Source organism: Homo sapiens, chromosome 17, assembly GCF_000001405.40.
Source record: "Homo sapiens chromosome 17, GRCh38.p14 Primary Assembly".
Taxonomy (NCBI): domain Eukaryota; kingdom Metazoa; phylum Chordata; class Mammalia; order Primates; family Hominidae; genus Homo; species Homo sapiens.
In genome coordinates, this window is record NC_000017.11 from 64,710,708 (window position 1) to 64,729,835 (window position 19,128).

A 19,128-nucleotide genomic window follows, 5' to 3' on the forward strand; every position below is an offset into this window, starting at 1 on the left:
TCTCTACTAAAAATACAAAATTAGCTGGGTGTGGTGGCTCATGCCTGTAATCACAGCTACTCAGGAGGCTGAGACAGGAGAATTGCTTGAACCCAGGAGACAGAGGTTGCAGTGAGCCAGGATTGTGCCATTGCACTCCAGCCTGGGCAACAAGAGTGAAACTCTGTCTCAAAACTAAAACAAAACAAAACAAAAACCTCAATGTAAAGGTACTTTGCCCACTGAGCACCATGGCTCATGCCTGTAATCCCAGCACTTTGAGGCTGAGGCGGGCAGATCACCTGAGGTCAGGAGTTCAAGACCAGCCTGACCAACATGGTGAAACCCCCATCTTTACTAAAAACACAACAATTAGCCAGGCATGGTGATGGGTGCCTGTAATCCCAGCTACTCGGGAGGCTGAGGCAGGAGAATCGCTTGAACCTGGGAGGCAGAGGTTGCGGTGAGCCGAGATTGCACCACTGCACTCCAACCTGGGAGACAGTGAAACTCCATCTCAAAAAACAAAAAAAAGATACTTTGCCTGAAAACATAATGAGCATATTATTTGAAAATGTCAGTAGCATACACTTAAAAAAAAAGTAAATAAATAAGTAATAGAGACAAAAGACAAATCTCCCATGTAGTGTTCCAGATAATTCCTGTAGATACTCCACCTCATAACTCCCACTCCTTAAACGTGGGTTGTACATGGTGAATGACCAAAGAGGATGGTATGGAAAACGGGAAGAAAAGAGTAACTTTACAGTGGAGAAACTGACAAACACTACTTCAGCCAGGTAATTAATAGCGGAGAGAGTGAGCGTGTATGTCCTGTGTTTCTCAACTTTGCTGACACCCTATAGTCTTGTGGGGAGCAGTCTGGTGAAGCATAAAGATCTTGGATCTGGAGTCAGCCAGCTCTGAGCTCCAATCCTACCTCTGTGTGCTCTTGGAGCAGTCACTCAACCTCATTGAGCCTCAGTTTCCCCATCTGTGAGAAGAGGATTAGAATGCAGGGATGAGGCCAGGTGCAGTGGTTCATACCTGTGATCCCAGTACTTTGGGAGATCAAGGCAGGAGAATCACTTGAGCCCAGGAGTTCAAGACCAGCCTGGGCAACAAAGAGAGACCTCCGTCTCTACAGAAAGTTAAAAAATTAGCTGGGTGTGGTGATGCACACCTGTAATCTCACCTATTTGGGAGGCTGAGGTGGGAGGATCACTTGAGCCTGGGAGGTTGAGGCTACAGTGAGCCATGATGGTGCCATTGTACTGCAGCCTAGGTGACAGAGTGAGACTCTGTCTCAAAAAAAAAAAAATTTAAATTAAAAAACGAAAAGAATGTCTATCTGGCCCTTAGCAACCGTGAGTGCTGGAGGAATCATGTTACATTTGAAGGCAGCTCCGAGGTACTGGAGTGGAGTCGGGTGGCTTCGCAGAAGGGTCCTGCTGTTAACACACTTTCCCTCGGGCAGATCCCCTCATACTGCCCGGACCTTCCAGTCCTTCACTCATTCTTCACTAAAGGCTGCAAGGGGCCAGGGCATGATGGCTCATGCCTATAATCCCAGCACTTTGGGAGGCCGAGGTGGGTGGATTGCTTGAGGTCAGGAGTTCAAAACCAGCCTGGCCAACATGGTGAAGCCCCGTCTCTACAAAAAAAAAATTACAAAAATACAAAAATTAGCCAGGCATGGTGGCGTGTGCCTATAATCCCAGCTACTCCGGAGGCTGAAGCACGAGAATCACTTGAACCCAGGAGGCAGAGGTTGCAGTGAACTGAGATCATGCCACTGCACTCCAGCCTGGGCGACAGGGCGAGACCCTGTCTCAAAAAATTAAAAAAAAAATGCTCCAAGGTCAAGGGCTTTTCAGACCCTCTTGGTCCATTTGGTTAGGGGGTGTTTTCACAAAGCTTTGCCTTGTTAGCTTTATGGGACCCGGAGGGCATACTTTATAGAACACAATCTTCATACCAGTGTCTCTAACCACAAACCCCAAGAGTCTGAACGTTGAGACACTCAGGAAGTTGAAAGGGACCTCTCCTCTTCAGAGGCCCGGCCCAGCTCTCAGGAATGGCATGCATCAAAAGGCAGGAAGTCCCTCACAAGTCTGTCCTATCAAGCCACCAGACACTGGTTACCTTTATGTGGCTGCACAAGAGGCTGAGTTCCCAGGGAGGGGCGAGGTGGTCTGGGGCTTTCAAGCCGTGGTGGAACCCACGCCTGAGAAGGGAGGCCTGCCGCTCCCACCACAGGAAGCCTGGCCCCCGCCAGCAACAGAGAGACTCAGAGCCCAGGCCTCAGTGCCCTCATGGGATAAGTGGCATTTTGGTTCCTGTTTCCTTCCCTCTCTGTTTTTCTTTTTCTTTTCATAGATTCTCCAAGCAAATATTAAACATGTCCTGCAAATCTCAGGAATCAGCACACAGAGAAACACAAAGAAGAGTAAGTGGCCTTCTTCCAAGACCTGGTTTATCAAAGGTCTGAGGCAGTCCTGATCCGCTGCTCTCCTCCTGCTGGCTGAGCCTTGCCACTGGCTCAGTGGCCCAGGGTGCCAGCTCCCTTTCCTGGGCCTCCCGGGAAAGGGGAGGGAGAAGGTCGAGGGAGCAAGAGGGTTCCAGGGCTGCCTCCAGGGCTGGCCTGGCAAGTTGCAGCTCTGTCCCTGGCGATTTCCCTGCAGCCAATGGCTGTGGAAGAGGAAAGGAGAGGACCTTTTGATGTGGTGGAGAAGCATCATTGTAGAAGGGAGAGGAATAAGTAAAAGGTTGGCCAGGGAACCATGGCCGGGCACGGTGGCTCCTGCCTGTATTCCCAGCACTTTGGGAGGCCAAGGTGGGCAGATCACTTGAGGCCAGGAGTTCAAGACCAGCCTGGCCAACATGGTGAAACCCCTTCTCTACTAAAAATACAAAAATTAGCCGGGCGTGGTGGTGAGCACCTGTAGTCTCAGCTACTTGGGAGGCTGAGGCAGGAGAAGCACTTGAACCCGGGAAGCGGAGGTTGCAGTGAGCCGAGATCGCGCCACTGTACTCCAGCCTGGGCGACAGAGTGAGTGAGACTCCGTCTCAAAAAAAAAAAAAAAAAAGTAAAATGTTGGCCAGGGAGCCTTGCTGGCCTCCTGAAGGCAGCCAAACATTAAACACACCTACAGTCACAGAGTCCAGCTTAAGGAAGAGGCAGACCAGAAAGTGAAAGTGAAGAAAGAACGGGAGGAGAGATGGGTGGGGGCGCGGATCAAGGCAGAAAAGGGAGGCAAAAGGCAAGGCTCCTAGGGACAGAGAGTGGTGACATGCCAGCTTCTGTTCGTTAAAACCCTGCTCTGGACCATGAACACTGCTAGGCAATTTCGTTATGACAGCTCCTTGCATCCTCCCAGCATTTTACAGCTAAGGAAACTGAAGACCGTGAGGTTAAATTCTTCACCCGAGGTCCACAGCTAGGGATTAGCAGAATCAGTGTTTGAACCCAAGGCTGCCTGACTCCAGTGTCACACCCAAACTGTTCCTGTCTCTCTGTTAGCAGTTCTTAGTTGCTGGGGATTCAGACTCTATTTTGTTGCTTGTGTAGTTCAATACAGCTCCCCCCACTGTGGCCACATTGCAGCCTACAGATGCAATAAAAAGGAGGGGAAGGCATGCATTTCCTTTAAGGGTACACCTGAGGTCAGGAGTTCGAGATCAGCCTGACCAACATGGAGAAACACAACTCTACTAAAAATACAAAATTAGCTGGGCATTGTGGTGCATGCCTGTAATCCCAGCTACCCGGGAGGCCAAGGCAGGAGAAACGCTTGAACCCAGGAGGCAGAGGTTGCGGTGAGCCAAGGTTGTGGTGAGCCGAGATCACACCATTGTACTCCAGCCTGGGCAACAAGAGCGAAACTCCATCCATCTCAAAAAAAAAAAAAAAATGCTGTGAATCTTGAACAGAGAATGCAATAGACAGCAAGAAAGGTCTGGTGGCATCTTCGAAGGAGCCTTCATCTCCTATACTTTCAGGGTGGATATGATGGAAGACTCAGCCCAGGGCCTCATTGTGCATGTAGGAGTTCCAAGTAAATGCTTAGGAAAGGGCATAGTGGGGACGTAGTGGGACCCTGAGACTTAGAATAGGAGCATCTAAGTGGTCACAGACAAGGCTGAGACTCTGGCACTTTTGAATTCTCAAATCCTTCAAAGCTCCCTTGTCTGTTCAGGCAGGTCCTCCCGTGTAGAGGTAACCAACTTATCCCTGCCTAAGGAACCTTCTGTGACTGCACCTAGGACAGTTGCTTCACTAAAAAGGGACACCAGATCTTCTCTTCATTCCTCCAGCATCAAAAGGAGAGTTAGATCCCAACATAGCCCACTTGGGCAGTACAAGGCCTGCTCTAGAAAGAGAATGTCTATACACTAAAGAAGTGGCAGGACCTTGCCAGTTCAAATCCACAAGGGTCTTGGGAGCACGTGTCGGAGAGGATTCTAAGCATTGTGTTAGCCTAAAGATGGTAAACACAAGGCTTGGCTGGGCACAGAGCCTCGTGCCTGTAATTCCAGCACTTTGGGAGGCTGAGGCGGGCGGATCACTCTTCAAACTCCTCAAACTCAGGAGTTTGAGACCAGCCTGGCCAACATGGTGAAACCTGTTTCTACTAAAAATACAAAAAATTAGCTGGGCGTGGTGGTGGGTGCATGCCTGTAGTCTCAGCTACTCGGGAAGCTGAGGCAGGAGAATCGCTTGAACCCAGGAGGCAGAGGTTGCAGTGAGCCGAGATCGTGCCATTGCACTCCAGCCTGGGTGAAAAAGTGAGAATCTGTGTCAAAAAATAAATAAATAAATAAAAATAAATAAATAAATAAAAGGCTTGATTGGGCTGAATTCACTGATACACTCACCCAGGTTTGGGCTTTGGAGTTGGCATGAATAGTCTACAATGGCTAACTCAGACTTGACTTAATAGAGACGTAAAGTTAAAGTTCCACCACCCAGAAGCAGCTGGGTTAGAGGGCGGTGAAATGGCTGCTGAAAGTTCATTTACAGGGTTAGCCTGGAGACAACACCCTGTTGGCTTCAAGTGTTGGCCTACAGGTTGCAGTTATGTCTTTTAAAAGCTGCTAACATTTGGAATTGTCTCCTTCAAAACTAGAAAGTGTACATCTAGATGCCGGGCGTGGTGGCTCACGCCTGTAATCCCAGCACTTTGGGAGGCTGACGCAGGTGCATCAGGAGGTCAGGAGTTTGAGACCAGCCTGGCCAAGAAGGTGAAACCCCGTCTCTACTAAAAATATGAAAATTAGCTGGGCTCTCCCTCTCCCTCTCCCTCTCCCCTCTCCCCTCTCCCCTCTCCCCTCTCCCTCTCGGTCTCCCTCTCCCTCTCTTTCCACGGTCTCCCTCTGATGCCGAGCCGAAGCTGGACTGTACTGCTGCCATCTCGGCTCACTGCAACCTCCCTGCCTGATTCTCCTGCCTCAGCCTGCCGAGTGCCTGCCATTGCAGGCGCGCGCCACCACGCCTGACTGGTTTTCGTACTTTTTTGGTGGAGACGGGGTTTCGCTGTGTTGGCCGGGCTGGTCTCCAGCTCCTAACCGCGAGTGATCCGCCAGCCTCGGCCTCCCGAGGTGCCGGGATTGCAGACGGAGTCTGGTTCACTCAGTGCTCAATGGTGCCCAGGCTGGAGTGCAGTGGCGTGATCTCAGCTCGCTACAACCTCCATCTCCCAGCCGCCTGCCTTGGCCTCCCAAAGTGCCGAGATTGCAGCCTCTGCCCGGCCGCCACCCCGTCTGGAAAGTGAGGAGCGTCTCTGCCCGGCCGCCATCCCATCTAGGAAGTGAGGAGCGCCTCTTCCCGGCTGCCCATCGTCTGAGATGTGGGGAGCGCCTCTGCCCCGCCGCCCCGTCTGGGATGTGAGGAGCGCCTCTGCCCAGCCGCGACCCCATCTGGGAGGTGAGGAGCGTCTCTGCCCAGCCGCCCCGTCTGAGAAGTGAGGAGACCCTCTGCCCAGCATCCGCCCCGTCTGAGAAGTGAGGAGCCCCTCCGCCCGGCAGCCGCCCCATCTGAGAAGTGAGGAGCCCCTCTGCCCGGCAGCCACCCCGTCTGGGAAGTGAGGAGCCCCTCTGCCCGGCCGCCCCTACTGGGAAGTGAGGAGCCCCTCTGCCCGGCCACCACCCCGTCTGGGAGGTGTACCCAACAGCTCATTGAGAACGGGCCGGGATGACAATGGCGGTTTTGTGGAATAGAAAGGGGGGAAAGGTGGGGAAAAGATTGGGAAATCGGATGGTTGCCGTGTCTGTGTAGAAAGAAGTAGACATGGGAGACTTTTCATTTTGTTCTGTACTAAGATAAATTCTTCTGCCTTGGGATCCTGTTGATCGGTGACCTTACCCACAACCCTGTGCTCTCTGAAACATGTGCTGTGTCCACTCAGGGTTAAATGGATTAAGGGCGGTGCAAGATGTGCTTTGTTAAACAGATGCTTGAAGGCAGCATGCTTGTTAAGAATCATCACCACTCCCTAATCTCAAGTTCCCAGGGACACAAACACTGCGGAAGGCCGCAGGGTCCTCTGCCTAGGAAAACCAAAGACCTTTGTTCACTTGTTTATCTGCCGACCTTCCCTCCACTATTGTCCTGTGACCCTGCCAAATCCCCCTCTGCGAGAAACACCCAAGAATGATCAATTAAAAAAATAAAAATTAAAAAAAAAAAAAAAGAAAAGAAAATTAGCTGGGCATGGTGGTGGGCTCCTGTAATACTAGCTACTTGGCAGGCTGAGGCAGGAGAATCACCTGAACCTGGGAGGCCGAGGTTGCAGTGAGCCAAGATTGCACCACTGCACTCTAGCCTGTGCAACAGAGCAAGACTCTGTCTCAAAAAAAAAAAAAAAAAAGGAAAAGAAAAAAGAAAGCGTATATCTAGGAAACAGAGGGTGAAAGAGTAGCTACTCTCATGCTTACACCTAAGAACACACTTGAAGAACTCTTGCTGCCCATCCCTATGACCTTGGATTTGGGAGTCTGAATATTCTAGTGCCTGAGGTGGGAACTGTTTCTACCAGGGGATTGTACTACCATGGTCATGGTTCTGATAAATTGGAAGCTAAGGCTTCCTTCAGGCCATCTGAGGATCCTCATGTCACTGATCCAGCAGGCAGGGAAGGAAAGACAAATGTCTTTCCTTTTGGCCACCCAACATCTGAACCTTCTTCCTATATATCTACGGTATAAGCAGATGACCTGGGCTCAGCTATATAAAAACAGCCCCTTGTCAGGCGTGGTGGCTCATGCCTGTAATTCCAACACTTTGGGAGGCTGAGGCAGGAGAATCCTTTGAACCTGGGAGGCGGAGGTTGCAATGAGCCGAGACGGCACCACTGCACTCCAGCCTGGGCGATAGAGCAAGACTCAGTCTCAAAAATAAAAATAACAAAATTAAAAATAAAAACACTCAGCCCTAAGTGAAATGGAACATGAGTAGCCCCACCTCCAGTGGCATAGGATAGAGTTCCTGGAGCAGGTGCAGCAGTGCTACTGGCAGTCTGAAGGATTCAGTGCTGGAGAGGTGGGAGGAGCAAGCAGCAGCATCTACAGTTCAGAGAACCAGTCTTCCCTGTAATTCAGAGAGATGCCACTCTCCTCCTCATGAATCATTTTACCACCTAAACCGCTAGAGTTGGCTCCTATGGCCTGTGACTGACAACTCTTACTGAAGCTGTTGTACTATTCTCTATTTCTCTGTTTTTGAAGTATTTCATAATAAAGAAAATGAATAACTAAGGAGGAAAGATGTAGGATCATCTTAATAAAAGCAGAAAAAGCATGCAATAACATTCAACATTCATAAATAACAGTAATAGGCTCGGCGTGGTGGCTCACGCCTATAATCCCAGCACTTCGGGAGGCCAAGACGGGCAGATCACAAGGTCAGGAGTTTGAGACCAGCCTGGCCAATATGGTGAAACCCCGTCCCTACTAAAAAAACCAAAGTGTGACCGGGTGCCGTGGCTCACGCCTGTAATCCCAGCACTTTGGGAGGCCAAGGCGGGCAGATCATGAGATCAGGAGTTCAAGACCATCCTGGCCAACATGGTGAAACCCCGTCTCTACTAAGAATACAAAAATTAGCTGGGCACGGTGGCAGGTGCCTGTAATCCCAGCTACTCAGGAGGCTGAGGCAGGAGAATCACTTGAACCCGGGAGGCAGAGGTTGCAGTGAGGCGAGATCACGCCACTGCACTCCAGCCTAGGTGACAGAGCGAGACTTCATCTCAAAAATAAATAAATAACAGTAATAACAAATCCATAGGAAACTAGACTAGCTGCCAACTTCCTTAACATGATGAACATTTTCTATCAAAACACACAGGAGAAATAATAATGGAAATGTGGAAGCCTTCTCTTTAAGAGCAGAAACAAAGAATGAAAGCCCATTGTCACCATTTCTATTTAACACTGGAGGGCCAGGCTGGGCGCGGTGGCTCATGCCTGTAATCCTGTGACTTTGGGAGGCCAAGATGGGTGGATCACTTGAGATCAGGAGTTCAAGACCAGCCTGGCCAACATGGTGAATCCCTGTCTCTACTAAAAATACAAAAATTAGCCAGGCATGGTGGCGGGCGCCTGTAATCCCAGCTACTCAGGAGGGTGAGGCAAGAGAATCTCTTGAACCCGGGAGGTAGAGGTTGCAGTGAGCCGAGATCGCACCACTGAACTCCAGCCTGGATGACAGCAAGACTCCATCTCAAAAAAAAAACAAAAACAAAAACGAAAAGTCCCATTTACAATAGCAACAACAGTTATAAAATGCTTAAGAATAAATCCAGCTGGGTGCAGTGGCTCATGCCTGTAATCCTAGCACTGTGGGAGGCCGAGGCGGGCAAATCACTTGAGGCCAGGAGTTTGAGACAAGCCTGGCCAACATGATGAAACTCTGTCTCTACTAAAAATACAAAAATTAGCCAGGCATGGTGGTGTGCACCTGTAATCCCAGCTACTTGGGAGGCTGAGGCTGAGGCTGAGGTGGAAGGACTGCTTAAGCCAGGAGGTCCGCAGAGGCTGCAGTGAGTCATGATGGTGCCATTGCACTCCAGCCTGGGCGACAGAGCCAGATCCAGTGTAAAGAAAAAAAAAAGTGTAGTATTTGTTCAGGGAGAAACAAAGAACCCAGTGGAACAAAATATAACCAGAAAATGACCCATGCCATATGAAAACAATATATGGCAGAGAAGACATTACAGATCAGTGAAAAGAAGATAGTGGTGCTGGCCTAATTAGTTACCCAAATGGGAGAAAATAGCTTGATCCTTACTTCATAGCATACACAAAAATAAATTATAGGTGAATTGAAGACCTAAATGTGGAGGCAAAACTCCAAAAATGGTTAGAAAAAATATATAGGGGATTTTGTTTATAGCAGAGTAGAAAAGAGTTTCTCAAATAAGACAGAAAAAGGATATACTATAAAATTATTTTAGAAACTTCTTACCAAAAGAAAGAAAGGAAACAAGAAGGAAAATTTAAAAACCATAACAACACTGAAAATAAAGCCACAGACTTTAAGATTCATTTTCAGAAAATATTTTTTAAAACTCCCATAAAATCAAGAAGAAAATAACAAACAACCCAAGTGGAAAATGGGCAAAGGATATTAAAAGGAAACTCACAGAATGGTCAAGGGCATGTGAAAAGAGCCTCCAAACTCATTAACAGGGAAATGAAACTTAAAACAACCCGGAAAGACCACTTTGTATCCCTCAGCTTGGCAGGAGCTTGAAGGACTGACAATGGCAAGTGTTGGCAAGGACACGCAGAAATGGGAACTCACACACACTGCTGGCCAGAGTGTAAATTACTACAGTCACTTTGAAGAACAATTTGGCCATAGCTAGTAAAATCAGTGGTGAACAAATCCTTCAGTCCACCAGTTCTGCTTCCGGATATACACCATAAGCTCACACACTTGCCCGAAACGGAGTAAACAACAACGCACGCTGCAACTCTGTCTGTAATAGCAAAAAACTACAAACAACTCAAATATTCATCAACAGAAGGCCAGAGAAACAAATTGCATACAGCTGAAAAAAAAAAGAACGAGAGCCACATATATCACTATGGATAAATTTCAAAAACAAAATTGAAAGCATGCTGAAGTTTTTTTTTGTTTATTTTTGTTTTTTTGACTGAGTCTCGCTCTGTCACCTGGGCTGGAGTGCAGTAGTGCGATCTCGGCTCACTGCAATCGCTGCCTCCCAGGTGCAAGCAATCCTCCCACCTCAGCCTCCTGAATAGCTGGGACTACGCCTTGCTACTTTTTTGGGTGTTTTTTTTTTCTTTTTTTGTTTTTGTTTTTGTTTTTGTTTTTGTTTTTTTGAGATGGAATTTCGCTCTTGTTGCCCAGGCTGGAGAGCAATGGCGCAATCTTGGCTTACCGCAACCTCCGCCTCCAGGGTTCAAGTGATTCTCCTGCCTCAGCCTCCCAAGTAACTGGGATTACAGGCACCTGCCACCACACCCAGATAATGTTTGTATTTTTAGTAGAGGTGGGGTTTTTCCAGGTTGGTCGGGCTGGTCTCGAACTCCCGACCTCAGGTGATCTGCCCACCTCGGCCTCCCAGAGTGCTGGGATTACAGGCATGAACCCCGCGCCTGGCTGAGTTTTTTATTTGTTTGTTTGTTTGTTTGTGGTGGAGACTGGGTTTCACCATGTTGATGGCTTTCTCAAAATCTTAAACACAGAGTTGCCCTATGTCACCTTATGACCCAACAATTCCACTTCTGGCTATACATCTAAGAGAATTGCAAACATACATTTACACAAAAAATTGTACACAAATGTTCATGGCAGCATTATTCATAAAAGCCAAAAAGTGGATATAACCCAAATGCTCTTCAATTGACAAATGGATAAACAGAATGTGGTATCTCCATACATTGGAATGTTGCTTGGCAATAAAAAGGAATGAAGTACTGATCCATGCTACAACAGGGATAAACCTTGAAAACACACTAAGTGAAATAAGCCAGACACAAAGGACAACAGAGCGTATGATTCCATGTATATAAAATGTGCAGAGTAGGCAAGTCCATAGACACAGAGAGTAGATGAGTGGTTGCCTAGGGCTGGGGAGGAAGGGATCAATGGGGAGTGACTGCTAATAGATGCTCAGTTTCTTTTAGGGAATGAAGAAATCTTCTGAAATTAGATAGTGGTGATAGTTGCATAACTCTGTGAATACAGTAAAAGTACTGAAATGTACAGTTTACAAGGGTTAATTTTATGGCACATCAATTATACCTCAATTAAAAACACACACACACGGAGAATCTTATGTTGAAGTTTGTGGTCTGCTCTGCCCATTTCTATATCGCCTCCACCATTTGCCCCTAGGAGGAGGTTCAGGACAGCATAATGGGAGTGTGAGCTGGACACTGTTCAAATGCTTGCCCTCCTACAAAGACCCTGAGGAAATGAAGCTGGAGCCCAGTGTCAGAAATCCAGTTTTATACACTGCAGTGTGGTCATCAAGAATGTTTGCCACTTTCTCCTATAGCCAAGCAAATGTTTAATTGTGGGAAACAGGTGAGCTTCGGAGTGGCATGTGATGGTTTAAAAGGTTACTTCATATTTTATTTTATTTTATTTTTTAAGACAGAGTCTTGCTCTGTTGCCCAGGCTGGAGTGCAGTGGCATGATCTCAGCTCACTGCAGCCTCTGCCTCCTGGGTTCAAGCGATTCACATGACTCAGCCTCCTGAGTAGTTGGGACTACAGGCATGCACCGCCATACCTAATTTTTTTTTCTTTTTTTTTTGTATTTTCAGTAGAGATGGGATTTCACCATGTTGGCCAGGCTGGTTTTGAACTCCTGGCCTCAAGTGATCCACCTGTCTCGGCCTCTGCAAGTGCTGGGATTACAGTCGTGAGCCAACGCGCCCAGCCTAAATGTCACTCCATATTTTAGATCTGCTTAACTACTCAGAATTTACTTATAAGACTGCTATAGTCATGTCACAAAGTCATGGTAGTCTTCTTGATAAGCAGTCATTTTTATACATTTTGTACGCAGATCTGAATGCTGTAGTATTTCCAATGTCTAAAATATATGTAAATAAAAATATAAGGCCGGGTGCAGTGGCTCATACCTGTAATCCCCTTTGGGAGGCTGAGGTGGGAGGATCAGGATCACTTGAGCCTGGGAAATCCAAGTTGTAGTGAGCCCTTATCATGCCAGTGCACTCCAACCTGGGCAACAGAGTAAAACACTGCAAGAGAAAGAAAAAGAGAAAGAGAAAAAGAGAGAGAGAGAAAGAGAGAGAGAGAGAGAAACAGAGGGAAGGAAGGAAGAAAGGAAGGAGACAGACGGGGGGCTGGGTGAGGTGGCTCATGCCTGTAATCCCAGCACTTTGGGAGGCCAAGGCAGGTGGATCACCTGAGGTCAGGAGTTCAAGACCAGCCTGGCCAACATGGTGAAACACCATCTCTGCCAAAAATAAAAAAGTTTCCCGGGCGTGGTTGCAGGTGCCTGTAATCCCAGCTACTCAGGAGGCTGAGGCAGGAGAATCACTTGAACCCAGGAGGTGGAGGCCGCAGTGAGCCGAGATCAGGCCATTGCACTCCAGCCTGGGCAACAAGAGCAAAACTCCGAATCAAAAAAAGAAAAAAAAAAGAAAGAAAAAAATTAGCCCAGCATGGTGGCACACGCCTGCAGTCCCAGCTACCCCAGAGGCTGAGGTGGGAGGGTCATTGAACCCCCAAAAGTCAAGGCTGCAATGATTCAAGATTGCATCACTGTACTCCAGCCTGGGTGAAGGGAGTGAGACCCTGTCTCAAAAAAAAAAAAAAAAAAAAAAAAAGCTCTGAATCTATAGGTTCCAGCCCTGAGAAATTCTGGATAAAATGGAGTTAACAGTTCACCTGCCTCAGGTGAGATAATATAAAACTAGAAAGGTCCATACCATTGTAATATCTAATTGAATCTATTTGTCAAAACAGTACCCAAATGCAGTATGTTCAGAAACCTTATAGTGTTAGGTAATAATAACCATAGACAAGATAAAAAATATGGGCTGGGTGTGGTGGCTCGCACCTGTTATCACAGCATTTTGGGAGGCCAAGGTAGTAGGATCACTGGAGGCCGGGAGTTTGAGACCAACCTGGGCAACATAGCAAGACCCCATCTCTATAAAAAAATATATATATAAAGATATATATTATATATATATTTGTACATGTTAACTTGAGGTGAGGGGTGCAGGGAGGGTGGAAAGGAGAAAGTAATAATATTAAGCATCAGTAAACAACTCTAGAGCCAGGCATGGTGACTCACTCCTGTGATCCCAGCTTTTTGAGAGGTTGATGCAGGAGGATTGCTTGAGGCCAGGAGTTCAAGACCAGCCTTGGCAACATAGTGAGACTCTCCCATCTCTAAAACAACAACAAAAAGTTAATTAAAAATTAAAAGAAAAGAAAACTTCATAGCCGTCTTCTCCAGGAAAACAAGTCCCAAAGCCACTTGCCACTGATGCAGAGGTGCGCAGAGCCCGAGGAACACGGAACCATAGCAGCTCTGCAAGTTGATTTTATTCCAGGCTAAAAGATGCTACTTCTCAAAGAAAGGAGCTTGGAGCGTCTCTGTTTATGAATTCATTTTTCAGGGGTGGGGTGATTTCAAGAGTCCAGGCTGTTTCCTGACCATGCACACTGTGCCGGCCTGGAAGCCTCAGGCCCCAGCCAGGCTGACCACGAGCCAGACCCGGAGTAAGCTTCGTCCCACGCTTCCTGTCGGTCCAGGCAGCCTGAGTTTCCTGGTGACCCTTCCCTGCACCCAGCTGATTCAAAGGCCTGGCAAGGCCTGGTGCCAGCCAAGAAAATCTGAGGCAGCCAGGTTTGTTATTTCAAATCTCTAAACCTTCAGACCTTTGTGCTTGGCTTACATATGTGAAAGTTAAAACAAGGATGTGTGTCGCAGTGGTGATTATAATTCAAGTAAGCAAAGATCCCTGCATGACCAGCCTTCAAATGTCAGCCCATGCTGAAGTTAACACATTTAACTCATAGAACAAAATAATTAAAATGAGGAGTAGATGCAAAATGGTACTGCCATTCTAGAAAACAGTTTGGCAGTTTCTTATAAAGTTAAACGTACACTTACCACAAGAACCAGCAATCACTCTCCTGGGTATTTATCCCAGAGAAATGAAAATTTATGTTCATATAAAATATTGTACACAAATAATTATAACAGCTTTATTTGTAATAGTCGTGTATCAGTCAGGATTCTCCAAAGAAATAGGACCAATAGAAGAGAGATATATACATAATAAATCATATATATAAATGAAATATATAAGAAGCTATATATATATGTACACACATACAGATATCTCTCAGAGTTCTCCAAAGAAATAGAACCAACTATATATATATTATATGTAATATATTATATTACATATATTACATGTAATATAATATATATTATATATAAAATGTATGTAATATATTATATATAATATATGTAATATAATATATTATATAAAATGTATGTAATATATTATATATAATATATGTAATATAATATATATAATGTATGTAATATAATATATATATTATATATAAAATAAATCATGGCCAGGCATGGTGGCTCACACCTGTAAACTCAATACTTTGGGAGGCCGAGGCAGGAGGATCACTTGAACCCAGGAGTTTGAGACCACCTGAGCAACATAGTGAGACCCCGTCTCTACAAAAAACATTTTTTTAAATTAGCCAGGTGTGAGCCAGGCATGGTGGCTCATGCCTGTAATCCTAGCACTTTAGGGGGCTGAGGCAGCAGATCACCTTGAGCTCAGGAGATCAAGACCAGCCTGGGCAACATGGTGAAACTCCATCTCTACAAAAAATACAAAAATTAGCCAGGCATGGTGGCACATGCGTGTGGTCCCAGCTACTCAGGAGGCTAAAGCTGGAGAATTTCTTGAACTGGGGAGGTGGAGGTTGCAGTGAGCCAAGATCAGGCCACTGCACTCCAGCCTGAGTGACAAAGTGAGACCCTATCTCAAAAAAAAAAAAAAAAAAATGTCCAGCAGCTACTCAGGAGACTGAGGTGGGAGCATTGCTTGAGCCCAGGAGGTTGAGGCTGCAGTGAGCCATGATCACACCATTGTACTCAAGCCTTGGTGACAGAGCAAGACCCTGCCTCAAAAAAATAAAAAGACATATGTATAAGAAATGATATATATTGATCTATATAGATAAATGATATGTATATAATAAATCATATATATATAATATATACATTTATTACAAAGAATTGGCTCATGTGATTATGGAGGTTGACAAATCCTAAGATGTGCAGTCAGCCAAGCTGAAGACCAAGGAGGATCGACGGTGGTGTTCCAGTGCCAAGGCCAGCAGGCTGGATACCCAGGAAGCGCAGATGTTTCGGTTCCAGTCCAAAGGCAGGAAAAAAACTGATGTCTCAGCTCAAAGGCAGTCAGGCAGGAGGAATTCTTTGTTATTCAGGAAAGATAGTCTATTTGTTCTATTCAGGCCTTCAACTGATTGGATGAGGCCCACCCATCTTAGGGAGGGCAGTCGGCTTTATTCAGTCTATTGACTTAGATGTTAAACTCACCCAAAATCACCCTCACAGAAACACCCAGAATACTGTTTGATCAACTGTCAGGCCACCCCATAGCCCAGTGAAGTTGACACATAAAATTAACCATCACAAGCCAAAAATTAGAAACAAGCCAAATGTCCCTCAACAAGTAAACAGATAAACACATGATGGTCTATCCATTCAGTGAAGTAACTCAGCAGTAAAAGGTAATGAGCAATTGATCCATGCAACAATGTGGATGGGTCTCAGGGCTTTTTGCTGAGTGGAAAAAGCCAATCTCAAAAGGCCAGTCTGATTCCATTTATTTAACATTCTTTCTTTTTTTTTTTTTTGAGATGGAGTCTTGCTCTGTCGCCCAGGCTGGAGTGCAGTGGCCTGATCTTGGCTCACTGCAACCTCCACCTCCCAGGTTCAAGCGATTCTCCTGTCTCAGCCTCCCGAGTAGCTGGGACTACAGGTGCACACCACCACGCCCAGCTAATTTTTGTATTTTTAGTAGAGATAGGGTTTTACCATGTTGGCCAGGATGGTCTCGATCTCATGGCCTCGTGATCTGCCCCCTCAGCCTCCCAAAGTGCTGGGATTACAGGCATGAGCCAATGTGCCCGGCCAACATTCTTTTGTTTTTTGTTTTTTTTTTTGAGATGGAGTCTCGCTCTGTAGCCCAGGCTGGAGTACAGTGGCACGATCTCAGCTCATTGCAACCTCTGCCTCCCTGGTTCAAGTGATTCTCATGCTCTGGCCTCCTGAGTAGCTGGGATTACAGGTGTGCACCACCATGCCCGGCTAATTTTTGTATTTTTAGTAGAGAGAAGGTTTCAACATGTTGGCTAGGCTGGTCTCGAACTCTTGACCTCAAGTGATCTGCCTGCCTCGGCCTCCCAAAGTGCTGGGATTACAGGCATGAGTCACTGTACCTGGCTTTATATAACATTCTTGAAGTGACAAAATCATAGAGTTGGAGAATAGATCAGCAGTTCCAGGGGTTATGGTAGGAGGAAGGATGTGACTGAGGGGTAACAGGAAGAAATTTTATCTTTTCTTTTTTTTTTTTTTTGAGACAGAGTCTTGCTCTGTCACTCAGGCTGAAGTCCAGTGGCACGATCTCAGCTCACTGAGACCTCCGCTTCCCAGGCTCAAGCAGTCCTCCCACATCAGCCTCCCTCACAGTTGGGACTGCAGGAGCGTGCCACTGGGCTCAGCTATTTTTGTATTTTTTGTAGAGATGGAGTTTCATCATGTTGAGATGAGATCAGGCTGGTCTCAAACTTCGGAGCTCAAGTGATCCACCTGCTTCAGCCTCCCAGAGTTCTAGGATTATAGGCATGAGGCACCATGCCCAGCCCCAGGAAGAAATTTCTTAGTGGTGATGGAATACTTCTGTGTTCTCATTGTGGGGATGGTCACTTGAATCTATGCATATGATAAAATTTCATAAAACTTGTCCAGGCTCAGTGGCCTGTAATCCCAGCACTTTAAGAGGCCAAAGTGAAAGGATCACTTGAGACCATGAGTTTGAGGTTACAGTGAGCTATGATTGTGCCACTTCTCTCCAGCCTGTCTCAAAAATTTTTTTTTCATAGAATTACATGCCAAAAGAAAAAGATGAGTGTCTCTTTCATGTGTATCTATTATGTTCCCAACACTGCTTTTGGGACTTTACACACAGTAACTGGCCGGGTGCGGTGGCTCACACCTATAATCCGAGCACTTTGGGAGGCCAAGGTAGGCGGATGGCTTGAGTCCAGGGGTTCGAGACCAGCCTGGGCCATAGTGAGACCTCATTTCTACAGGAAAAAAAATAATAATGATGGTGTGTGCCTGTAGTCTCAGCTACTCGGGAAGCTGAGCTGGGAGGATTGCTTGAGCCTGGGAGGTCAAGGCTGCAGTGAGCCAACATTGCGTCACTGCACTCCAGCCTGGGCGACAGAGTGAGATTCTGTCTCAAAAAATAAAAACAAAAACAAACCAGACAGACAGTCACCTTAGGAATAAACACTATATCCCCACTTTATAGTCAAGGAAACACTGAGAGAGTGTAATCACCACCCAGTCACATAGCTGGTAAGCGGCAAAACCAGGATTTAAACCAAGTCTACCTGACTCCAAGGCTTTGGCCCTTTCTCATGTTGCCTGCTAACATACACACAAGCTCCAAAGAATGGGGCCTCCATCCTGCCCGTGATAGATATTTCTAGCCCTGATGTTGCCTCGCACCACAGCAGAGTGTCCTGCACTGTGTTTTCTACATTCCCTGGATAAACACAGAAAGTCCTGCTCTGTGAAGAGGCCATCAAAATTAGCACAGAGATGAGGCATTGGAGAGCAAACTCCAGGACAAGTCCAGAGGGACAGATGGCTCAGCCCGAGGTCAGGGTCCTCTTTATACCTCACTTGAATTTAGGCGGCAGGCTGGGCATGATGGCTCATGCCTGTAATCCCAGCACTTTGGGAAACCAAGGCAGGTGGATCACCTGAGATTAGGAGTTCGAGACCAGCCTGGGCAATATGGCAAAACCCCATCTCTACCAAAAAACTAGCCAGGTGTGGTGGCACGCATCTGTAGTCCCAGCTACTCAGGAGGCTGAGGCAGGAGAATCCCTTGAGCCAGGGAGACGGAGCTTGCAGTGAGCCAAGATCGCTCCATTGCACCCCAGCCTGGGCAACAGAGTGAGTCTCTGTCTCAAGAAAAAAAAGAAGAATTTAAATGGCAACCAAATTCCCAGGGGTGTGTGTCTCTGGGATGCCTCCCCTGACTCCCTCCAGGCTGAGCTGCGGACCCATCATCCACGCTCCCACATCAGCAAGATTTACGTTAATCAAGGACCTAGTGTGTGGCTCTAGAATCACCAATGTATCCTTTGTTGATGCGGGAGCCTCTCACAGAACTTGGCCTGGGTAGAAGCGCAGTAAGCGTTTGCTGAGTGAATGAATGAACTGCAAGAATCTCATGCAAGGGCTGTGGACTCAAATGCCTTCAGAGGCCAGGCAGACACCACCAATGAATGAGGTTGGGGGTGGTGATTCGTGGAGAGTGGAGAGGACAGGGGTGGAGTGGGGACATGTGCCCGAGCCACCGGGGCAGCTGCCACTCCGCTTGCCCTCATGCCACCAGGCAGGAATGTGGGCCATCTATTACCACATCTGATTTTTCAAAAGAAGCCAAAATCCAGTCTTTTATGATGAGCTTCTGATTTTTTCACGTTGCGGACTAATTTTAAGTTTTTTAAATTAAGTGAGGGCCAAACGAAACACATATGCTAGTTGAATACTGCCCAGAGGACATGGTTTGGAATTTCTGCTTTGAAACTTCAGGATGTTCCAGCGTTTCTGATGCAGTGACAGTGATTTTCCTGATGACTACGAGACAAAGGTGTCCACAGCAGGTAAAGGAAAGCCAGTGCCACCAACAGCCATAAGCCAATTCCATGTGGACGGCCTCCTCTGCTGACATCCCACTGGGAGAGCCGGTAAGAACTCTGAAGGCGGGGTTGCAGGGAGGACAGGGAGGAGGGTACAGATGACCTATGACTGCTGGCTGGCATAGTACG

General features: G+C 46.9%; 1 annotated feature.

The window, feature by feature from the left end:
- Positions 2,286-2,335: an enhancer, noted in NCBI's record as "active region_12600". NCBI's record gives its function as "activates an Ori minimal core promoter by ATAC-STARR-seq in GM12878 lymphoblastoid cells {active_cell/tissue: GM12878}" and the evidence as "EXISTENCE:reporter gene assay evidence [ECO:0000049][PMID:35858748]".